Genomic DNA, 20,898 nt, shown 5'->3' with positions numbered 1-20,898 from the left:
CTTATAGTTGAAGTTTGCTGTAACATTTAGCAATTAAAGCTGGTCCCACCGCAGGGTCACGTTCCTCCTTTGCAGCGAGCAGTCTCCATGTCCTATGCTTTTCCTACTTGCAAGGTGAGGCTGAATGAGCTTCAGCAGGCACAGGACACACTTCCCATGTGCACCTATTCCTGCAAGGGCCCAGGTGTGAGCCCTGAGGCTCCTGGAGGAAGGGCAGGCAGGGTTCTGGAAGCAGAGCATGCCAGTCACCTGCACATGCGCACCCGCTGGGGCGAGCCTGCTGTGTGAAAGTCCCGGAGGCCCGTCACTGCAGTGTCTCTGGTGGCGAGATCACTGGGACAGGGGAGGAGGGCCCTGGGGAGGAAAGGGAGAAGCATCTTCACCCTCCCGTGGTTGTCTTTCTCAGAGAGGTCCCCGGACTCACATCTCCACATCCATGGAAGCCTGGGAGCCACAGATGCTCCCCGTGTTTAGGCAAAACCTAGGGGCCCCCGAACTCAAGCCCTCCCTATACTGCAATCTGAGAACTCTCTGTTCTTTGGAAAAGAGAATTGCAGTCTTTCTTTGTCCCTGGACTACTTTGAAGTTGCAACAATCAAACTCTGTGTCAGCTCAGGAACTAAACGGACCTGAGAAGTAACATTTCTCAACTCTGGTGAAAGGAAGTCTGCAGCCAGCCCGTGGGAGGAGGCAGCGGAGGCAAGGATGGGTACCTTGCTGCTCTTCCATCTGTCCCAGGCCCCTGGCTTGACCCCATCAGTGACTCACAAAAGTGTCCAAATACATCCATGGCCTAGACGGAGAAAGGCCACTGCCCTCCCATTCCAAGTCCACTGAAGCTGCTCTGCCTGCCCACGCTGCCCACTCCTGGGAGGCCAGCAGCCCTGTCTGAAGTGGGAGGCAGGCTTTCCTCCCAAGCTGCAGGTGAGCCACTGAGGGCTGAGCTGCATGGCGAAGTCTTAAAGCCAGAATATGGCAGAGCTGAAACTGGAGCTGCCTTCCGAGCTGGCCTGTGGCTGCACCTCTGCCCTCTTCCGGGTCAGCGACCTGGAACTCAGATGCAGGGTCTGTGAGGTTACTGCAGAGCCAGCCTCTGCTCTGACCTCACTTCCCACTGGCCAGTCTGCTCCCATGGCCCAGCCAAGATGTTGAAACTCGCTTCCTTGTGCTAAAACATGGCTAAGAAAGAAAGCTGTTAGCTAGGATTGACCACAAGGTAGCCAGACACTGCCTGCCTGAAAAGATGGATAGAATACTGAGGGGAGAGTGTTTCCCTGCACTCTTCAGCCTCTTTGCCTCCCACTACCCAAGCCTGGCCCCACAGCTGTGGGCAGTTACTCAGACCACATGGCTCCTTTGATCATGACCCATTGCCCTGTTCATTCCCTCTGTCCTCTTTTCCGCATGGCTTCCTTAGGCCCTGGTCTTCCCACAGCTTGGGCTGAGCCTGCCAGGATGCAGCCAGGGAGGTGGGAGGCTGCCAGTCACTGGGAAGCAGCCCTGGCTCAGGAGGGACAATGGTGTGTGCGTGCATGTGTGTGTGTGAGAGAGAGAGGAGTTTCTGAAAACGGGGTACTGACCCCAGGATGGGGATGCTTCCTGTGTGATTGGGGTCAGGGTGTAGGAGCAGAGGAGGGCAGAAGGCCTTGTGTGGAGAGCATCTAACAGCTCTGGGCAGGGTGGGAGCACAAAGGCACTGTCAGCCATCACCACCACCAGCAGTGCTGCCAGGTCCGCACAGGAGGCTGTCCAGACGCTGAAGTCACCTCTCCCCTACTGGAGGCCTGACACCAGTCCCTCCATGGGAGAGAGCAGATGCTTAGGTGGGCCTGAAGAGCGGCTCCCGTTCACCCTGTGGGAGGTTGATGGCATTGAGTTGACCCAGCCCCAGTACATCCAGCTGAAGCTTGTGAACTCGGCACAAGTTTATTTTTGTTACTTCTCTTTGGTCTATGAAGAAAAAAACAGCTAATTTTGAGGGTGAGAAAAATGCACCAAGTAATGACAGAGATAGTGTGAGTTTTGCTTTAAATCTATTTTATGGCCCTTTGATTATGACAAAAAAAAAAGAATTATCTGGCTGTGGTTTTGTGACAATAATTATACAGTGGGCACTGACTGAGCTAGAGGATGCTGGAGGCGGATGAGGTCGTTTTGACCCTTCCCCCCTTAGTTTCCCATCTCATCCCCAGTCCTGCCAGGAAATTGGAGACAAATTCCACAGGGTATCTGAGGAGAGGGAACAGAGGGATATTTGCAAAGGAAAACCAACAACGGAGGGTAAAGGACCCACAGTCAGTGAAAGGGGCACGTGCACCATCCCTAGACCCCACGGGTGAAGGATGCAGTGGTGGCCAAGCCCAGTGTGTTAGTTTCCCACGGCTGCTGAACAAATACCACCGCCTTGGCAGCTGACAGCACAAGTTTGTGATCCTACAGCTCTGAAAGTCAGAGTCAGGACGGGCTCACTGGGCTCTGGACAGTGTGGGGGTGGGGGGGGGGGGTGCTGCATTCTTCCAGACGCTCTAGGAAAGAACCCATTTCCTTGCCTTTCCTGGCTCCTAGAGGCTGCCCACAGTCCTTGCCTCATGGCCTTCTGTCTTTCAAGCCTGCAGTGAGTGGAGTTCTTCTCATATTGAATCACTTCAGCTCTGACTCCCCTACCATTCTACCATCTTTTAAGGAATTTGGGCTTATCTGGATAATCCAGATAATCTTCCTATTTTAAGGTCAGCCTATTAGCACCCTTAACTCCCTCTGCAACCTGAACTTCCCCTTACCAGCTTGCATAATATATCCACAGATTTCAGGGCTCAGGATGTACACATCTCTGGAAGCATTGCTCTGCCTGCCACACGCACTAGGGGTTGCTGTAGGTGGCGGGGAGGGACTGCCCAGCAGGAGCGCTGGCCCCTGGCGGAAGAATGCAGCTGCTGTTAAGTGGGTTCCAGCAACCAGTAAGAAATATCCCAACACTGGCTCCAGCTGCGCTCATATTTCCGCATGCTCCCATTCCCCAAAATTAGCCAAATGCAGCCATCAGTGGAAGGGCTAGGGAGCCTGTTAATGGAGTCCAACAATGGCAGACTCCCAGGACCCAGAGCTGCCTGTCAGTGAGAACAATGAAGCCTAACACCAGAGTGGAAATGAATATAGAATTTATTATAGATATGTATTAAATATATATATATACTCTAAATATATATTTACACACATATACACGTATGCCTACATATGATTCTGGAGTTCAGAAGGATGTAGCACAAATATGAAACATCTACTAAAAATGAAATTTTTAATTCACCTAAAGATACAAAAGTAGAAAGACCAATTGGGAGTTTATTACAGGTGGGAGTGAAATGTATTCAAAGGAAAGAATAAACTCCCTCAACAGAGTAAGTAAAAATACTGGGACATGTGTGAACAAGGCATGTGCATGCAGTTACCCAAGCTCCAAGAACTGCCAACCTAATGTTTATGGTGTTCAAGGTTTAGACCATAGATGAAAGCTCCAAGAGCCAGGGCACCCCAAACCTTAACGAGTCACATCGGGGCAGGGGGAGGAGAACTTCTCTTCGCCAATGAGACAGTTCCCCTAAATCCTCAATGAAACAAGTTCTTCTTGGAGCTGATGTGGCTGAGAACTCTTGGGACCCTGTGTTGATGGCACTAAAAGAGAAAGGAAAGAAAAGCCAGAGGTAAGACTCAGGAGTTATGAAGGGACCATTTCCCTGGCTATATATGATAGGTAGTCAGAACTTTAGCATGTAGGATTTGTAAATTATCTTTTATTTTTTTATTTTTTGCTACACTATTATGTGTTGTCTTACAGAAAAAAAAAATCTGTGTGATACCAAGATGCTGTTTTAGTGCAGAATATCAGGGATTTCTGAAGAATATGCATAGACAAAAGGAGGAGGTGTCTTGAAATTCAGAACATGGGGTATAGAAAGTTCTAAAATCCTATAACCATGGAATCCTCATAAGCTTCAGGAATGGGGAATGGGACTTCTTCAAACCATGCTTTTCTATAAAACTGGTAGGTCCCAAAAGAAAGCGAAGCTGTGGACCTCGGTCACTGTCCACACACCTACAGGCAAGCCTGCACCTGAAGGAGGAGTCTAGGACCCCCACAGCACCCACCCTCACCATGTCTGTGTTGGTGTCCTCGCATAGGCATGCTGTGTTTCCCGGTGTGTCCGTCTTGTTTCCCAGTGAGCCCTAAGCCCCTTGATTTGCCATCAAAGGACTTAATGAGTATTTCACTTAAATTATTCCAGCAAGTAAGAAAAGTGGCAAAATGTTATAATGTAGTCAGATTCACAACATTCTCCAGTACAAACTACCAGCAACTGGGGAAAATTTCTACTTACAGCAACAACTAAAAACCATTTGGAAGCTATTTAGGAGCAAAATGGTATACAGGATCTTTGTAAAAAAAAAAAAAACTAGGAGATTTAAATACTTTAATGTATTAAATATTCTTAACATATCAATTGTCCTGCATGTTAATGTACAGAATTAGGTGGTTTACCATTGACATTCAGCAGAAATTTTTAAGACTTGAGGGCAGTTCTTCTCAAGCTTTAATGTGCACACAAACCACCTGGGATCTCATTAAAATGCAGATTTCGAGTCAGTGCGTCCAGGATGGGCACGAGATTCAGCATTGCTAGCAAGCTCCCAGTGCCACTGATGCTGCTGATCCATGGCCCACATCTGTGCAGCAAGTCTAATGGAGGACATCTCATTTTCCACTGGATCCACCTCAGTAAGGGCGTTCCTCAGGGAATGAGCCAGAATCGGGGCAAATCAGACCATGTGTGGCCCCATGCTCAACCCCACTCTTTCTCATTCTTCAATAGTGGGTTGGGTTTGCAAGATAAAAGCAGCCCTTGGCTGGGGTGTGATTTTTTTTTTTCCTCTCCTACTTTCTAAAATTAGCAGTTGTTCCATATATCTTTGTCCATTTAGAAGACTCAGTCAAGAATGCTTCTTGTGGCTGGGCGCGGTGGCTCACGCCTGTAACCCCAGCACTTTGGGAGGCCGAGGTGGGCAGATCATGAGGTCAGGAGATCCAGACCATCCTGGCTGACACAGTGAAACCCCGTCTTTACTAAAAATACAAAAAGTTAGCCGGCCATGGTGGCGGGCACCCGTAGTCCCAGCTACTCGGGAGGCTGAGGCAGGAAAATCGCTTAAACCTGGGAGGCGGAGGTTGCAGTGAGCTGAGATTGCACCACTGCACTCCAGCCTGGGTGACAAAGCAAGACTCCATCTCAAAAAAAAAAAAAAAAAAAAAAAGAATGCTTCTTGCCTGTGGGATCTACCAGAGCTATTTATCTAGGGGTGCGTTACGGTCATCTTAGACATGGAGATTGCCTGTAACAATTGCAAAAGAGCTTCAAATTCAAAATTCAAGGAACCCCAATCAAGAAAAGGTAGTCACAGGGCAATTCTCAAAGTAGCCATGTGTGGTCTGAGCACGGGGAAGTCCTCCAGCTCCAGAATACCTCCTGATTGCAGGTTCCATTTGCCCTCCTATGAGCAGCCATGGTGAGCACCCCAAACTCCTGACCTCCCCAGCTTTGGGGAAACTAGTACTTGTGACATATTTAATGTTAAATCTTCCTGTCAGGAATATTATCTGTCTCTCCATTTTGCCAGATCTTTTGTTCCATCAATAAAAGTTCAGTTTTCCCTCCTTGAAGTCATTGTAAAGCTTGTCATTGGGTGTGTTCTATGCTTGTTGTTGTTGTAGTATTATAAATGTTATTTTTATCATATATTTTCTATATATGCATTAAATAGTAAAGAATTTCAATTTTACATTTTCAAGGTAAACATTTATATCTATAAATAAAGTTACTTTAGCCTGTTACTTTCCAAATTCTCCAGAATTTCTCTGGTCCTCTTTGGCGACCTAAAGAAAGAGACTGAGGCAAAATTAATATAGAGAGTTTATTTGGGCCAAGGTGAAGGACAGCAGCCCAGGACACACTTCCACATTGCCTTGGGGAGGAGTGCTCCTGTTCAGCTTTTGCTACAAGCAGGCTTTTAAAGGCAAAAGGGGACAAGGAGTGGGCGGATACAAAGGTGTTTGCCAGGAGTTCTCATTGGTTCACAGAAAGAACTCTGGGTGGTGATTGGCTCTACACTGTTGAACTATATAGGGTATGGATAATGGTGTCCGGCACATGGCACCCTGTAGCTACTTGGCATCCATTAGTCTAGAGTTCACATAGCCGGTGGCTTCAGGAGGTCATTATTTAGTTCAAGGCAGGAGGGACACATTGCTGCTGTGTCTGCTGTCACATTTCAATGCCCCTCTGGGCTTGATAATTAAAGGGGACTCACATTCCTCAGATTAAAAGTTTCTTTTTTTCCTCACCTTTACAGCAAAATCTTTCAAAAGAAGTGTCTGTCCTCATGGTCTCCAATTCCCCTCTTCCTGCACTCTCTGGAACCTACTCCAGTCTGTTCCATGCTCTCACCAGGGTGAGCAATGACGTGGGAAGGTTGAACCCGTGGTCGGCTCTGAGCGTGCATCCTCCTTGACCCGCCCGCCATGACTGGCACAGGTGGGCACTCCCTCCCTTCGAGGACAGCACGTCTCTGTGGCCTCAGGGCTCTTGCCTGCCGCCTCTCACCTGAGAGTGGCGGGGCGCAGTCCTCAGACATCTCTGTCTCTCCTGTACTTCCGCCCTTGTTGATTTCCTCCAGTCCCGTGGGTGGGAGCCACATCTTCATTTGCACGTACCTAGGAAAATAATGACTTCATTACTTTATCCAACTCATTTGTAGCTTTAATGTTTTTGTACTTCTGAAAGATTTCTCAGTCTTTAGCTCTATTTGTGGTTTTCTCATTTTTATAATCTGACATTGGCTTGTGTGTCTTTTAGGGCCATTTTATTTGTATTTTCTTGGTGTCTTAGAGTATGTTTTGTTGAGACATAATTCTTTACCCCACCTAACGCTCTTTGCCTAAATTCCATGACGCCTCATATTAATATTTTCTCCCCTACTTTCTTTAATTAGCAGCTGTTCAGTGTATTTTCATCCTGAGCAAATTTTCAACATGTCAGGATTAGTTTGTGGTCAAAGTGGCTTTTATGAGCATCCTGTGAGTTTTATACTCTAATAAAGTCTAAGACTCTCTAGTCTATTAGTTTATAAAATCCACCCACATTTATTGTCTGTATTATTGTGTCTTATTTCCTGGTTTTAGCTTGGGTAAATTTTCATTCCTTTGGATTTCCCTCTCATGCATTTGTGCATGCTACCTGATGTTTCCATTCTACTATCACTTACTGCTAAAGTTTATTAACTGTTCATTTACCCTGGTATTTTTTTCAACGTATCAATCAGTATCTGCCTAACACAGCCTGTTAGACACCTGCCGTGGGAAACTGGTTTTTCTTCTTCCATGATTGCTCCTTTAAAAAAAAGGTAATTAATCATTTTTCTTTTTTAGAAAGCAATTTGTTCTTTTTTTAGTAGGAGCCAACCCCTAGATTGGTAAATTCTCCATCATGAGAAAAAGCACAGTAGTGATACCTAACTGTTTTCTAGGGTCGACTAAAGAAAAATATCAAGTTTTTCAAGAATTAAAATTATTTTTTATTCCGGAGTCTTACTGAAGACCGTAAATGGAGGTCTACAGCCCGGGAGCAGTCCCCTAGAGAAGTTCCATCAGACAATTCTGAAATAGGGCTTCAGCCAACAGTTTATATATGAAGTGTGGAGGTTCAGTATGTGCAAAATCACATCACACTTGCTCGGAAGTTACAGTAAAGCAGAATCACGTGAAGGTTTGGGTGTAAGAATCCACCTGGTTATAGATGACAGAAGCATCATCACTGACCCCAGCAGGCATCATCTTATGTGCAGCAGGAAGCAGGGACTAGGATGGTTTATCTTTTAAGGAACATAGTGGCTCAGGCCAGAGACGTGGGGGCCGTGCGGCACTCTATCTTCTTTTGTCTTCAAAGCGTCTTTCTGGAGAGCTGCATGTTGTTGCAGAGTCAGGGGCATTGTGAGATTCCGCTGCAAGCAGGCAAGAGCACACAGGCTTCTCACCATTGCTACTTTGTCTCACACTAGCACATACCCCCACCATGCTTTCCCCTTTCTTTAATTTTGTTTTAAAACAAAATTAAAGCAATGATATTTGCAGAAGTGATTTCCAAACTATTTGGTCTCATGGGCTCTCCACCCTGGACTGGTTTCCTGGACATTTCAGTAAGTGCTGGCTTTTAGGTGGCTTCTGTGGCTACACCAGTGGAGCTAGTTTCATCCACAACGGAAGTCAAGGCAAAATTCCACAAGCAGGTGTGGCTTTTACCTCCATGCCCTGAGGTTCTGTCACCTTGCTTCTGGAACAGGGCTCAGTCACTGAGTCTTGAACTGTCAGATTTGGAGTTTTATCAGCTTCACCTGGGTGGTCAAGCTACAGCATGGTGTAGGTGACAAAGCCTCCAGGAATACGGTTAGCAAAGCAGAAAGCCGGCGTGTCCACACAGAAGGTGCCCCCAGCAGCTCACTCAGAATGTCTCTGTATTTGAGGATGCAGGTGTGTTATTAAAAACAAGGAATCTGAAGGAGTTTGGAACCAGAAAAAAGGAACAATAATTGCTCCAGGGACATGATGTTCATTTTATTGTCTTCAGGCATCATAAGTTCACGACCAAAAATGTTCCTATCTGGTAATGGGTGGCCATCATCAGCGTCTGAGCACTTGCTCTCTTCCCTGGGCAGGATCCAAATAGTACATTCGCAGTGTCGCCTTCTCTGGACCACAGCTGACTCCTAGGTGGCCCTGCAGTTGCCAAGCCCCTACACAAGGGGCCAAGGTGCATGTCCATCAAAGACATCTCTTAGCCATTGGGTATTTTTCTGTGTATCACTCACACCCTTCACTCTGTCCCCTCCATAGCGAGCGGTAGGTGTCTGAGGAGGCGTGCCTCAGTCTCCCTGCGGGGACCCGACACGGGATGGGGCAGAGGGAGGGAGGGAAGGCAGCAGGCCCTGAATCCATCGGACAAACCTGATGCCCTGGACTGTGGGGAACTTTGGGGGATTCACATGGAGACTGCAATAGGGTAATTTTCAGAAAGTTATAAACCTAGACTACTTACAAACACAGAAGGAGCATCTGATTCCCTCAACTCTGTAAAGAGAAAACCAGCAATGGGCGATACTATCTGAAGGAGAACTGGAGGAGTCGTAGTTATTGGGCATGAGGGGAAATCCCAGGTCAGTTACATAACTGGTTCAGTTCCTAAAGAGCAGAAAATCCACAGCATCTGGGGAGATCTTTTCTGCTGCACAGAAATCACTGGCATCTCCCTTGGACAAAAAGCTCCACAAGTTAACAGTAAATTTAGAATCTGGCCTTAAATCAATAACAAAGACCGAGTCAAACAGAGGCACATTCCCTAGATAACTCCATCACCCGCAGTAGGCCTGTTAAGTAACGTTCCAAAATGGTGGTGGAAGCTCTGCTGATCTCCCTCTGCCTTTTTCCAAATTTCAAGCAATTTTTTTTCTAGACGGAGTTACAGAAGAGAGCAAGAAGGAAGTAACATGGCCTGGGGGTGGGAGTAAAACAGTCCCCTTCGCTGAGGCACAAGTGAGTCCCCCAGAGCCCACCCCCTGTTCACCCTTCACCTGCACCCCCCCACCCAGCCACCCCACCACACAGAGGTCCAGAAAGAATCAGCGGAGGGCACTGATTGGCTGCCATTTTCACCCCCACACTCTCAGGGGCACCGTCCGCCCCCAGGTTTTGATGACTGTCTGTCCCTGACATTTTTGCAGATTTTACAAATGCATCTAATGGTCTAAGTGTACCAACCACGTAGGAGAAGGAGGGCCCCTCCTAGGACGCACATGGGACATTACTCCCAGGCCCACCCCTCTTGCCTCCCATTCCACCAGGCCCCTGGGGGGCAGGCAGTCCTGACACTCTCCCAGGTCATGTGTGAGCAGATGGGATTAAGTTAGGTGGTGAAGGCCCTACAGGTAGAAACCGGCTAAGCTGGGACAGCACTCACGTCCTCTGAGACCAGAGCACACCGGGCTCCTTCCCAAGTCTGTGGCTCTGAGCTCTATGCTGCTGCTGTCCCTGTGGTCCGCAGGCAGCCCACCCCTGGTCCCAGCAGGGTCAACACCTTGCATCTTGATATAGTTTGGATGTTTGTCCCTTCCAAGTCTCATGTTGAAATTTAATCCCTAGAGTTGGTGGTGGGGCCTGGTGGGAGGTGCTTGGGTAGATCCCTCATGAATGGCTTGGTGTCTTCCTCGAGGTAATGAGAGAGTTTCCCACCGTAAGATTGAGTGTTAAAATGTGCCTGGCACCTCCCTCCCCGCCTCTCCTCTCTGTGTCTCTATTCTCCCTTTCTCCTCTCTGTCCTCTCTGTTTCTCTCTCTCTCTCTCCCTCCTACCCTTCCCCTTTCTCTCTCTTTCTCACACTGTCTCTCTCTCTCCTGCACAAGAAGCACTATGCTGCTGCTACCGCTTACAGAACTGTGAGCCAAATAAACTTCTTCTTTATAAATTAGCCACCTCAGATAACACAAACAGACTTTTATCGCAACACAAACAGACTGAGACAGACCTCACTCCCCACCAACCAGCAAGGTCCCCACTGCCCTGCCCAAGATTGTCCTCAGCTGAATTCCTGCTTGTTCTCACTCACAGCATGGCCATGACTGGTCGCCAGGTGGACAGGCCATGCATCCCTGCAAGGAGGACAGCAAGGTAGAGGGCAAGGACCCCCCTGTGAATCCTGAGCCTGGCAGCATCCAAGACCACATGAATTGCCTGGTTCTGCCCCTTCCCCTCCAGCTCCATGGTCTCCTGTGTTCCCAGTGCTCCTGCATTTCAGGCCCAGACAGCACTGGGCATTCAGAGCTCCCCATGACCTTTAAGAGAACGCAGCAGGCCCTGTGACAGTGGGCTCATTTCTGGAAAAGGCAGGGAAAGGTGGTGTAGAGTGAGTCCATGTGAATGCACGTGTGTTGTGTGTTCTCCTGTAATATCTTAGCAAAAAGACATTAAATGCTGGATAGGAGAAATGAAGCTTGTTTTGCATTTTATTTCAGTTTGGCTGTGTTTAGAGGGAAAATGAAAGGAAGAGATTAAGACAGGCAGGTTGAAAAGAGATAACATTAAATTAAATAAAATTTTAATATAAATAGAAATGCACTTAGAAATAGACCTGTGCATAGAAACACATATATGTGATGTGTCTCTAGGCCTGTACAGGAAGCAGATCTGTACACAGCACAGGTGGGCATCATCCCCACTGTATTGCATCCAAGCTGGTCACACACTGCTGATCCTTGTCTTCTCCCGACATCTGAGTCCTTGAGGCTGCCTCTCACCTATCTATCAGGAAAGACAATTCAAGATGTTCCAAAAATGCTGTCTTTCTTAAGACACTCATATCCCAGAAAACCAGAAAAGACACATAGAGCTATAAGTCCATGCAGCCACTGGGAGCCCCTGGAAGGCAGGGCTGTGGTCTTCTCTAGCCTGCTGTTCCTCATGGCTCATGACTTCCTGTGTCTGGGGTAGAGGGACGGGAGGGCAATTTCTTATGGAGTCTTCCAAGCACATAGGAAAGAAGCACTTTCAATCAGGATACATGTATTAATCTCAAGTAATAAAAGATACATCACATTCCAATCCTGGTTCCTTTGTTAGTTGGGGATTTGAGAAGGGAAACAAGGAAGCAGAGTGGGGCCTCAGCAGAGGAAGCAGGGTGGGCATAACGGGAGTGGCACACAGACAGAGACCACAGGCAGGGGCTGAAGAGGGAGAGGAGACAGCTAGGAACAGCAGAGGCTTTCCAAGGCAAGTTCCACTTGTCTCTGCTGCCTGAAGGCAGGGCGACAGTCTCCAACTCCTGAAACACGCATTGGCTAAGTCAGAGGAACCAGAGGAAAAAGTAGTTTGAGGCCTTGGAGTTTCATGGCCTCATCCTGTTGGGGGCAGAAATACTGAAATCCCTACCACCTACCAAGCAAGCCATGGGAGATAAAACCTGGCTTCTCCTAATGGACATTGGAGATACAATTAGCCTCTTGAGTCATAACCAACACTATGTTTAAAATAGATACATCTATTTTTAAAATTTTTAATTATGGCAAAATACATACAAAATGTACCATCTGAACTATTTTTGAGTGTGTAGTTCAGCAGTGTTGTCTATTTACATTGTCATGCATCCAACCTCCAGAGCTTTTCATTTTGCAGAAACTCCACCCATTAAATAATTCTCTATTAGACACATCTGTTTAATAGTTACTTTCTTCAAGAGAATTTTGTCTCCTGCTCTTCTCCTTGTTTGGCTACTTCCTTCTCCAAGTCCCCTTTCCCTCTCTCCCTCTTCCCTCTCTCTCTCTACACACACACATACATGCACACACAAATACACACACACACACACATGCACACACATGTACACCCATGAACAGATACACTCAATCTAACACAGCTTATCCTTCAAGATTTATTGCCACCACCCCTCTCTCTTTGTGACCATTGTTTACATACACAGTGATATGGTTTGAAATCTCACTTTGAATTGTAATAATCCCCACATGACAAGGTTAGGGATAGCTGGAGATAACTGAATCATGGGGTGGTTTCCCCCATACTGTTTCTGTGGTAGTGAATAAGTCTCACAAGATCTGATGGTTTTATAAATGGGAGTTCCCCTGCACAAGCTCTCTGCCTGCCACCATGTAAGACATGACTTTGCTCCTTATTCACCTTCTGCCGTGATTGTGAGGCCTCCTCAACCATGTGAAACTGTGAGTCAATTAAACCTCTAATCTTTGTAAATTACCCAGTATCAGGTATGTCTATCAGCAGTGTGAGAACAGACTAATACATATAGGAAGAAACACAAATCCCCCAATTTATAGAGATCCCACAGGGGAGGGCTACTAGTTCTGTCACAGGGGTCCCCCAGACCAAATGACCTGTCCATTCAGGACTCTTAGACAGGAAGAGCCTCAGGCCAAAGGAAGCATCCAGATGGAACCTGCTGAGTTAGCACCCAGTGGGTTCAGACCTCTGTAAGGGATTTTTACCCAAGCCAAAGGGATTCATTCCTCCTCTGTGTTGCAGGAAGTCAGGAACCCCGAACAGAGGGACCGGCTGAAGCCATGGCAGAAGAACATAAATTGTGAAGATTTCATGGACTTTTATTAGTTCCCCAAATTAATACTGTTATAATTTCTTATGCCTGTCTTTACTGCAATCTCTGAACATAAATTGTGAAGATTTCATGGACACTTATCACTTCCCCAGTCAATACTCTTGTGATTTCCTATGCCTGTCTTTACTTTAATCTCTTAATCCTGTCATTTTCGTAAGCTGAGGAGGATGTATGTTGCCTCAGGACCCTGTGATGATTGCGTTAACTGCACAAATTGTCTGTAGAGCATGTGTGTTTGAACAATATGAAATCTGGGCACCTTGAAAAAAGAACAGGATAACAGCAATGTTCAGGGAACAAGAGAGATAACCTTAAACTCTGACCACCTGTGAGCTGGGCAGAACAGAGACATATTTCTCTTCTTTCAAAAGGAAATGGGAGAAATATCACTGAATTCTTTTTCTCAGCAAGGAACATCCCTGAGAAAGAGAATGCATCCCTGAGGGTAGGCCTCTAAAATGGCCGCTTTGGGGGGCGGCCATCTTTTATGGTTGAAGCTGTAGGGATGAAATAAGCCCCAGTTTCCCGTAGTGCTCCCAGGCTTATTAGGACGAGGAAATTCCCACCTAATAAAGTTTGGTCAGACCAGTTGTCTGCTCTCAAACCCTGTCTCCTGATAAGATGTTATCAATGACAATGCGTGCCTGAAACTTCATTAGCAATTTTAATTTCTCGCCAGTCCTGTAGTCCTGTGATCTTGCCCTGCCTCCATTTGCCTTGTGATATCTTATTACCTTGTGAAGCATGTGATCTCTGTGACCCCCACCCTATTTGTACACTCCCTCCCCTTTTGAAAATCACTAATAAACTCTTGCTGGTTTTAAGGCTCAGGGGGCATCATGGAACCTGCCGACATGTGATGTCTCCCCCGGACACCCAGCTTTAAAATTTTTCCCTTTATACTCTGTCCCTTTATTTCTCAGACTGGCTGACACTTAGGGAAAATAGAAAAGAACCTATGTGAAATATGGGGGGTGAATTTCACCTGATATCTGGCTGAATTTACCCCAATACTCTGATTTGCTGTAGGGAATGGAATCAGACCTCACCCTAACCTTTGTACTTGGTGATGGGTAGACCATCAAGCTGAACAAAGGTGCGTGGCTGTGTTCGGTGCCAGCAAAGAGGACCTGGACATGCCCATCTTCTGTCCCCACATATATGCAACTAAAAAACAAAACACCAAGCAGAGAGGCATGCATGAAGAAAGCACATTGGGAAGAGCCTCCCACCTGCCATTGCTTCATTTTCATGGATAAAGTAGTCACAGAGGTTGGAGGGATGCCTCAAAACACCATTAAGCATCTTCACACTTTTTCTCCATCACAGTGAATTCACCATTCCAGGGAAGTGCTCCTACCAAAAAGCTGCAGCTTAATTTCTGAAAAAGATGACAACAACAAAAATTAGTAGAGTGCCAAAAAAAAAAAAAAAAAGAAAAGAAAAACAATTGTCCTGTTGCTAGGTGTCAGTTTAGGTGTGTGCTGACAGATGGGTCACCACTCTCGAGCGAGCTCCCAGGAATCTGCAGAGCTAGAGGCTGCAGACTTCATAGCCATCAGCAGTTTCCCAGAGGGATCTCTGTTCTATTTTAACCACAGGAAGACAAGAAATGTTAATAATCATAACATTGTGGTGCAAGTTCAGATATAAACTTGACATTATGTTTAATTCCCTTTAATACAATGTAAATAAAATGATTCTAATTGTTAATTAAAGTATGTTATTTTATTGATTAAATAATCCATTTTAATATTGGCAAGGTTGTGGACAAAAGGGAATGCTTACACACTGCTGGTGGGAGTGCAAATTAGTGCACCCATTGTGAAAAGCAGTGAGGTGATTCCTCAAAGAACTAAAAACAGAATTACCATTCAACCCAGGAATCCCACCCAAAGGAATATAAATTGTTCTACCACGAAGACACATGCACATGTATGTTCACTGCAGCACCATTCACAGTAGCAAAGACATCAAGTCAGCCTAAATGCCTGTCAATGGTGGACTAGATTAAAAAAACAATGTGGTACATGTACACCATGGAATTCTACACAGCCATAAAACATGAGATAATGTCCTTTGCAGTAATATGAATGGAGCTGCAGACCATTATCCTAAGCAAACTAATGCAGAAACAGAAAACCAAATACCACATGTTCTCACTTATAAGTGAGAGCTAAACAATGAGAACACATAGACACAAAGAGGGAACAACAGACACTGGGGCCTCCTGGAGAATGGAGGGCGGGGGAGAGAGAGGATCAGAAAAAAATACCATATCGGGTACTGTGCTTACTACCTGTGTGATGAAATAATCTGTACACCAAACCCCTGTGACACGAATTTACATATAACAAGCCTGTATGTGTACCCCTGAATCTACAATAAACTTTTTAAAATCCCTTTTGTTCTAATAACAAGTCAAGAGCAATTTAGAAAATTCTAGGGCCTAACATATCTTTTCTTCCAAAGAACTCTGCTTTTCTTTCAAAATATCATTGAAATGACAAACAAAATATCCTATGTGTATGTGACAGATTAATGAATGGATGGATGGATGGGTAGATAGATGGGTAGGCAGAGAGATAGTGGTCCTGGACAAACCGCAAGGGCCATCTCAAATAGACTGAAATCACTGGGGCACTTCCAGGAGTTAAGAGGCAGACAAAGTCAGAAAGAAGAAAGTTTAGTCCCTGCTGAGTATTGAAAATATGCAATAAAAAGTACTGGATCAAGATGACTTTACAGGCAAATTACATCAAATTTGGGAAACCAAATGCATCTGCTTGGAAAAAGAGAAAGTTTTTATTATTGACAAATGTCTGCTTGAACATGTATGTCTTAAAAACTGAGACGTATCATGGAAATCTTAGACACAAGTGGGCTCCTTGAGAACAATTTTCTTTAATGCACTTTAATATTTTCTACAAACTGCCAAAAGCAAAAACTTTTCTACAATCCCTAAAAGCCCGGGAGAAAATATAAATTTAAAGCAACCATATTCCTAATACCAGTAAAAGATAAAACAAGCATAAAAGATCAGATAGCATTCGGACAAGCTCACTGCTGAAATGTTTGTCCTGACGGGTCATTTATTGTGAGCTGGAAATGATAGGGTTTGTTTCATTTGAGCATACAGAGGCAGTTTTCATCAAACATAATGGCAGGGCAGTTCATAAATGTACCTGCAATTTCCTGTGCCATGGCAGTGCATAAAGCAGTGGTTCTCAAAATGATCCTAAGGCCAGCAGCAGCAGCAGCAGTAGCACCACTCAGGAACTCATTAAGAATGCAAATTCTTAGATCCCATTTCCTGAATTGGAAACTCTGCCGGTGGAACCCGGTCATCAGGGTTTGTCAATACCTCCAAGTGATTGTGATGCCTGCTCACATTGGAGAACCACCAATGTAAAGACAGGGACAGTGATGCACCTGTTGGGCAAACCTGCAGAATGCTCAGGCCTTCATCTGTCTGGGACCAAGTACTGGCCTATGAGCTGCTCTGAGATAAAAAATACAGGCTTGAAGCCAAAAGCCCCTGGGCCAAGTCCTCCTTTTGTTGGGAGTCTGTGGGTTTGCCCCAACCTTCCTGGAAACCTGGACTGACCCCAGCAAAAATCAACTGTAAACCCAGGAGGGTGGGGCCACCCTCTGGCTTAGTCATTGCTTAATCTCCAGCACCCAGAATAGACCTGGTGCAAAGCACGTAGCACCTGGTGCTCAGTAATTTTCTATGAGTGGATGAGTGAATGAATGAAGTTCCTTTTGTGTCTGTATGGGGATGAGTGACCATGGGCCCAGCAATAGTGGGTGGCTTGTCTGGACCCAAGAGGACAGGCTTTTGGTGATTATGTGTTGTCCAGTGTGCCTGCATCAAAAGGCCAGAAGTCAATGGAGCCCTTGAGATAAGAGTGGTCTTGACAACATCCTTTCTGCAGGATGAAGGATGAGAAAGAAGCTCAGAGGGTTCCACCACGTTCCGTGGCCCTGGATCTTCTGCTATAAAGGCCACAGGGTTGGCTATCTGGGGCTAAACACTGGGAGCCACCCAGACCTCAAAGAGAAGGTCTGCGTGCCTCAGCTTTCTCTCTTGGGTTCAGAGCTGCCTAGGCCGTCACAGATGAGTGGTTCATCACCTACCCTTTTCAGCTTGGAGTTTTCTTGAATGGCGCAGATTTCATTAGTGCTTAAAGGCTTTCTGCAATCGCTGCGGGCAATTTCTACATCAATAAGGTATTCCAGAAGATTTGTGACCTGTTGGTTAGCAATTATGCAATTTTATTCAAAAGAGTTGTACTTTTTTAAAGTTTTGACAAAAAAAAAAAATTACTCTTACTCTCGTCCTTTCCTCTTTCCTTCCTCCCTCACCCCCAGACAGAGCTTTAGCGGAAGGCTAAGATGCCCACTGCCTGGAGCCCTGTGTACAACAAGATCAGTCAGGACTCCATAGGCTCCTGGAGCTGGACACTTGAGTAAAGACTCCTCTCCAGTTTGTCACCTCCTTGAAAGCAAGGCCTTCTCATTCCATTTCCTGTCCCCAAGCCCAGGGCATGCTGCATGCTCAGTGAGGACTGAGAGGTGAAAGGTGGGCTCTTCAGAACCATCAGCTCTCCTGGGCCTGAGATGCTCAGGTTCACACAGGCCTGACCAGGGGACAGCCCCCTCAGCCACATTAGGCCCCAGTCCCTCAGATTCCTGTGAAACCTCCCATCCTCTGGGGTTTCCCCACCCAAAGCCCCTCCCACCAGCTCAGCACACAGTCCATGAGGACCCATGCAGGCATGAGTTTGCCTGTCTTGTTCTCTGCTGAGTCTTTAGTGAGTAGAACAGCAGTAGGTTTATAGCAGGACATTAGTATTTGTTGAACTCATTAGTGACTGAATGCAATCAAGGCTACTTGTGATGTCCATTTAAATCTGTTTTCATCTGGCATTAAAGGATTACAGCAGGAGATGAAGGAGTGTCTGCTAGTTGGGTCCAGGTTCACCTGGACTCACCTTTATCAGATCTTTTCTCATGGCTAGCATTCTATCTGTCTCCCAACCTTAGCAAATACATGAACATTTGATTTGCAGTTTGGGGTTTAAATGAGTTAATCTATGCGAAGGACTTAGAACAAAAGCGCAAGCGTTTGTAGAAAGTGCTCTGTGTGTTCACTGCCTTATTGATGCTGTGGAAGTGTCTAGGCTCTTAAGCATTCACATATTTAGGATTTTTGCATAGTGATATTTTTCTTATATGCCCACTCTTTCAGTCTGGCTTCAACTGTGCCACCATATGCAAATGTCCACCTATATGGAAAGACACCTTTACCTGAAGCTGGGCTTGCAGTGTCTTGACCACCAGGAAGACATACTTGTCCTCGCTCTCTTTGTTGTATTCTTGCATGGCAAACCACAGACACTGCTTCACGTTGGCATTTGAGGCATTGACGGGTTTTAATTTCCTCAGCACCCCTGTCTCATTCTTTTTTGGGTCTTTCCTGGCCACCAGGGCCAGGGGAATGGTGAGGAGGATCAGGGAGAGCCACCGGCACCTGGGCATGGTCCCTTGGGCAAGAGGCAAAGTCGACTCTCCTCCTCGTCGTCTCAGGGCTGGAGCTGTGGGCAGGATGGGGTGGCCGCAGCTGCTGCTGTGGGTTCAAGAATCTTCGAGCCACACACTGCCTCCTGTTAGCGTCAGCCCAGCTGGATTCAAGACAGGCCATTAGGGTCACTCTTTGGGGTTTGTCCTCTCTTTCTCCATGGAAACCCACCCAGGAATGCCAGTTAAGGAGTCTCTCTACCAGCCTCCCCTCCTTACCCTGAGAGCAATCTGTGTGTCTAGGGAGAGTTCCTCTCCCCTTCGGCCCCAGTGTGTCTATGCCTACCCCTGTGAGCGTCACTCTTGTTATCTGCTTCTCAGTCCTGTATGATGTGATCATGAAAACTGTGGCTGCCCCAGAGGCCTTGTGGCCTCAGCCCTTGGTGGACTTTCAGCCTGCTGTGCCTGCAGCTCCTTCTTACTCCCTGTGGAGCTGGGAGCTGACCTGACCAGTGGTTCTCCTAGGTCTTCAGCACTCTTAGTTCATGCCTGTGGCCCAGTCAAGGGTCTCTGTGGGTCCTGGTCTGCGGTCTCTCTTGCCCCTCTGAGTCCACGCCCTGCAGGGAGGTTACGCTTTGTGATGTAATTCAGCACCTGTGTCTTGTCCCAGTGAGGACATCTCCCACTTGCCAGCCTCCGGCCTTTGGTCTAAACAGCTCTCACAGGGGCACAGAGAGCAAGCAAATGCCTCCTGCTGTGCCCTCAGAGTCAGGGGCCTGCAATGGTTAATACTGAGTGTCAACTTGATTTGATCGAAGGACACCAAGTATTGATCCTGGGTGTGTCTGTGAGGGTGTTTCCAAAAGAGATTAACATTTGAGTCAGTGGGCTGGGGAAGGCAGATCCACCTTTAATCTGGTGGGCACAATCTAATCAGCTGCCAGCGAATATAAAGCAGGCAGAAAAACGTGAAAAGGAGAGATGGTCCTAGCCTCCTAGTCTACATCTGTCTCCCATGCTAGATGCCTCCTGCCCTCGAACATCAGACTCCAAGTTCTTCAGTTTTGGGACTCTCAGACTGGCTCCCCTTGCTCCTCAGTTTGGCAGACAGCCTGTTGTGGGCCCTTGTGATCATGTAAGTTAATACTTAATAAACTCCCTTTTATATACATATTATTTATATATATAATTTATGTATATTTTATATATATATAATTTATATGTATATTTTATATATATACAATTTATATATATATTTTATATATATAATTTATATATAATTTTTATATATAAATTATATATATTTTATATATAATTTATATATATAAATTATATATATTTTATATATAATTTATATATATAAATTATATATATTTTATATATATAAATTATATATATTTTATATATATATAATTAATATATATATAATTTATATATATATTATATATATAATTAATATATATATAATTTATATATATATTATATATAATTAATATATATATAATTTATATATATATTATATATAATTAATATATATATAATTTATATATATATTATATATATAATTAATATATATATAATTTATATATATATTATATATATAATTAATATATATATAATTTATATATATATTTTATATATATATAAAGGGGAGTTTATTAAGTATTAACTTTATATATATACACAACCATATATATCCTATTAGTTCTGTCCCTTTAAAAGAACCCTGACTAATACAGGGCCCCTCTGGCATCTTCTGCCCACCTGTGCCAATGACTCTGGCTTCCTGAATGCCTGGCCTCTGAACTCCCTTGGCTTGGGCCAACAGTAACCCCCTGCCCTGTCCTGCCAGGGTAAGGGTCACGTGGCCCACTCTGATGCCCAGGCCTGGCCCTTAGTGGGAGGAGGGGGGCACGCACCTGTTAAGCTCTCAAAGCTTCTGCTTTTCTGTGAAAATCCCAAATCAGTGTCCAGAAAGTTCCTGGTGAGGCAGAGAGGTGAGCATTCTTCCTAGGCTGCAAAGATCAATGGGTTCTATGAGCAAGGGCAACGTACAGAAAACACATATGGGGCAGGAATCTGTCAGGCAGGTGGCAAAGCATTGCAGACTACAAATGCATTATGCTGTATTTAAACTTTCTCC

General features: G+C 45.5%; 1 protein-coding gene across 8 annotated transcripts, besides 1 other annotated feature; it reads right to left on the bottom strand.

The window, feature by feature from the left end:
* Positions 1-3,319: 3,319 nt before the first annotated feature.
* Positions 3,320-19,327, bottom strand: CST8 (cystatin 8). Of its 8 annotated transcripts, none has more exons than XM_047439816.1 (6): positions 19,035-19,327; positions 18,546-18,919; positions 17,373-17,486; positions 14,465-14,613; positions 6,392-6,760; positions 3,320-3,669 (listed from the first exon to the last, which is right to left on the bottom strand). In XM_047439816.1, the coding sequence occupies exons 2-4, from the start codon at positions 18,774-18,776 to the stop codon at positions 14,530-14,532; spliced, it is 429 nt and encodes a 142-aa protein (XP_047295772.1). In that variant the 5' UTR covers positions 18,777-18,919; positions 19,035-19,327; the 3' UTR covers positions 3,320-3,669; positions 6,392-6,760; positions 14,465-14,529. The 8 variants fall into 8 exon arrangements, with proteins under 8 accessions (XP_047295772.1, XP_047295771.1, XP_047295773.1 ...); XM_047439815.1 differs by having other exon boundaries at positions 19,102-19,327; XM_047439817.1 differs by having other exon boundaries at positions 19,261-19,327.
* Positions 19,363-19,863: an enhancer, noted in NCBI's record as "H3K4me1 hESC enhancer chr20:23471218-23471718 (GRCh37/hg19 assembly coordinates)". NCBI's record gives its function as "activates a minimal SCP1, AML or CMV promoter by ChIP-STARR-seq in naive H9 embryonic stem cells {active_cell/tissue: H9 hESC(naive)}" and the evidence as "EXISTENCE:reporter gene assay evidence [ECO:0000049][PMID:30033119]".

The sequence above is a fragment of the Homo sapiens genome, chromosome 20 (genome assembly GCF_000001405.40).
Source record: "Homo sapiens chromosome 20, GRCh38.p14 Primary Assembly".
NCBI lineage: Eukaryota > Metazoa > Chordata > Mammalia > Primates > Hominidae > Homo > Homo sapiens.
This window is presented reverse-complemented; position numbering and strand designations above follow the sequence as displayed.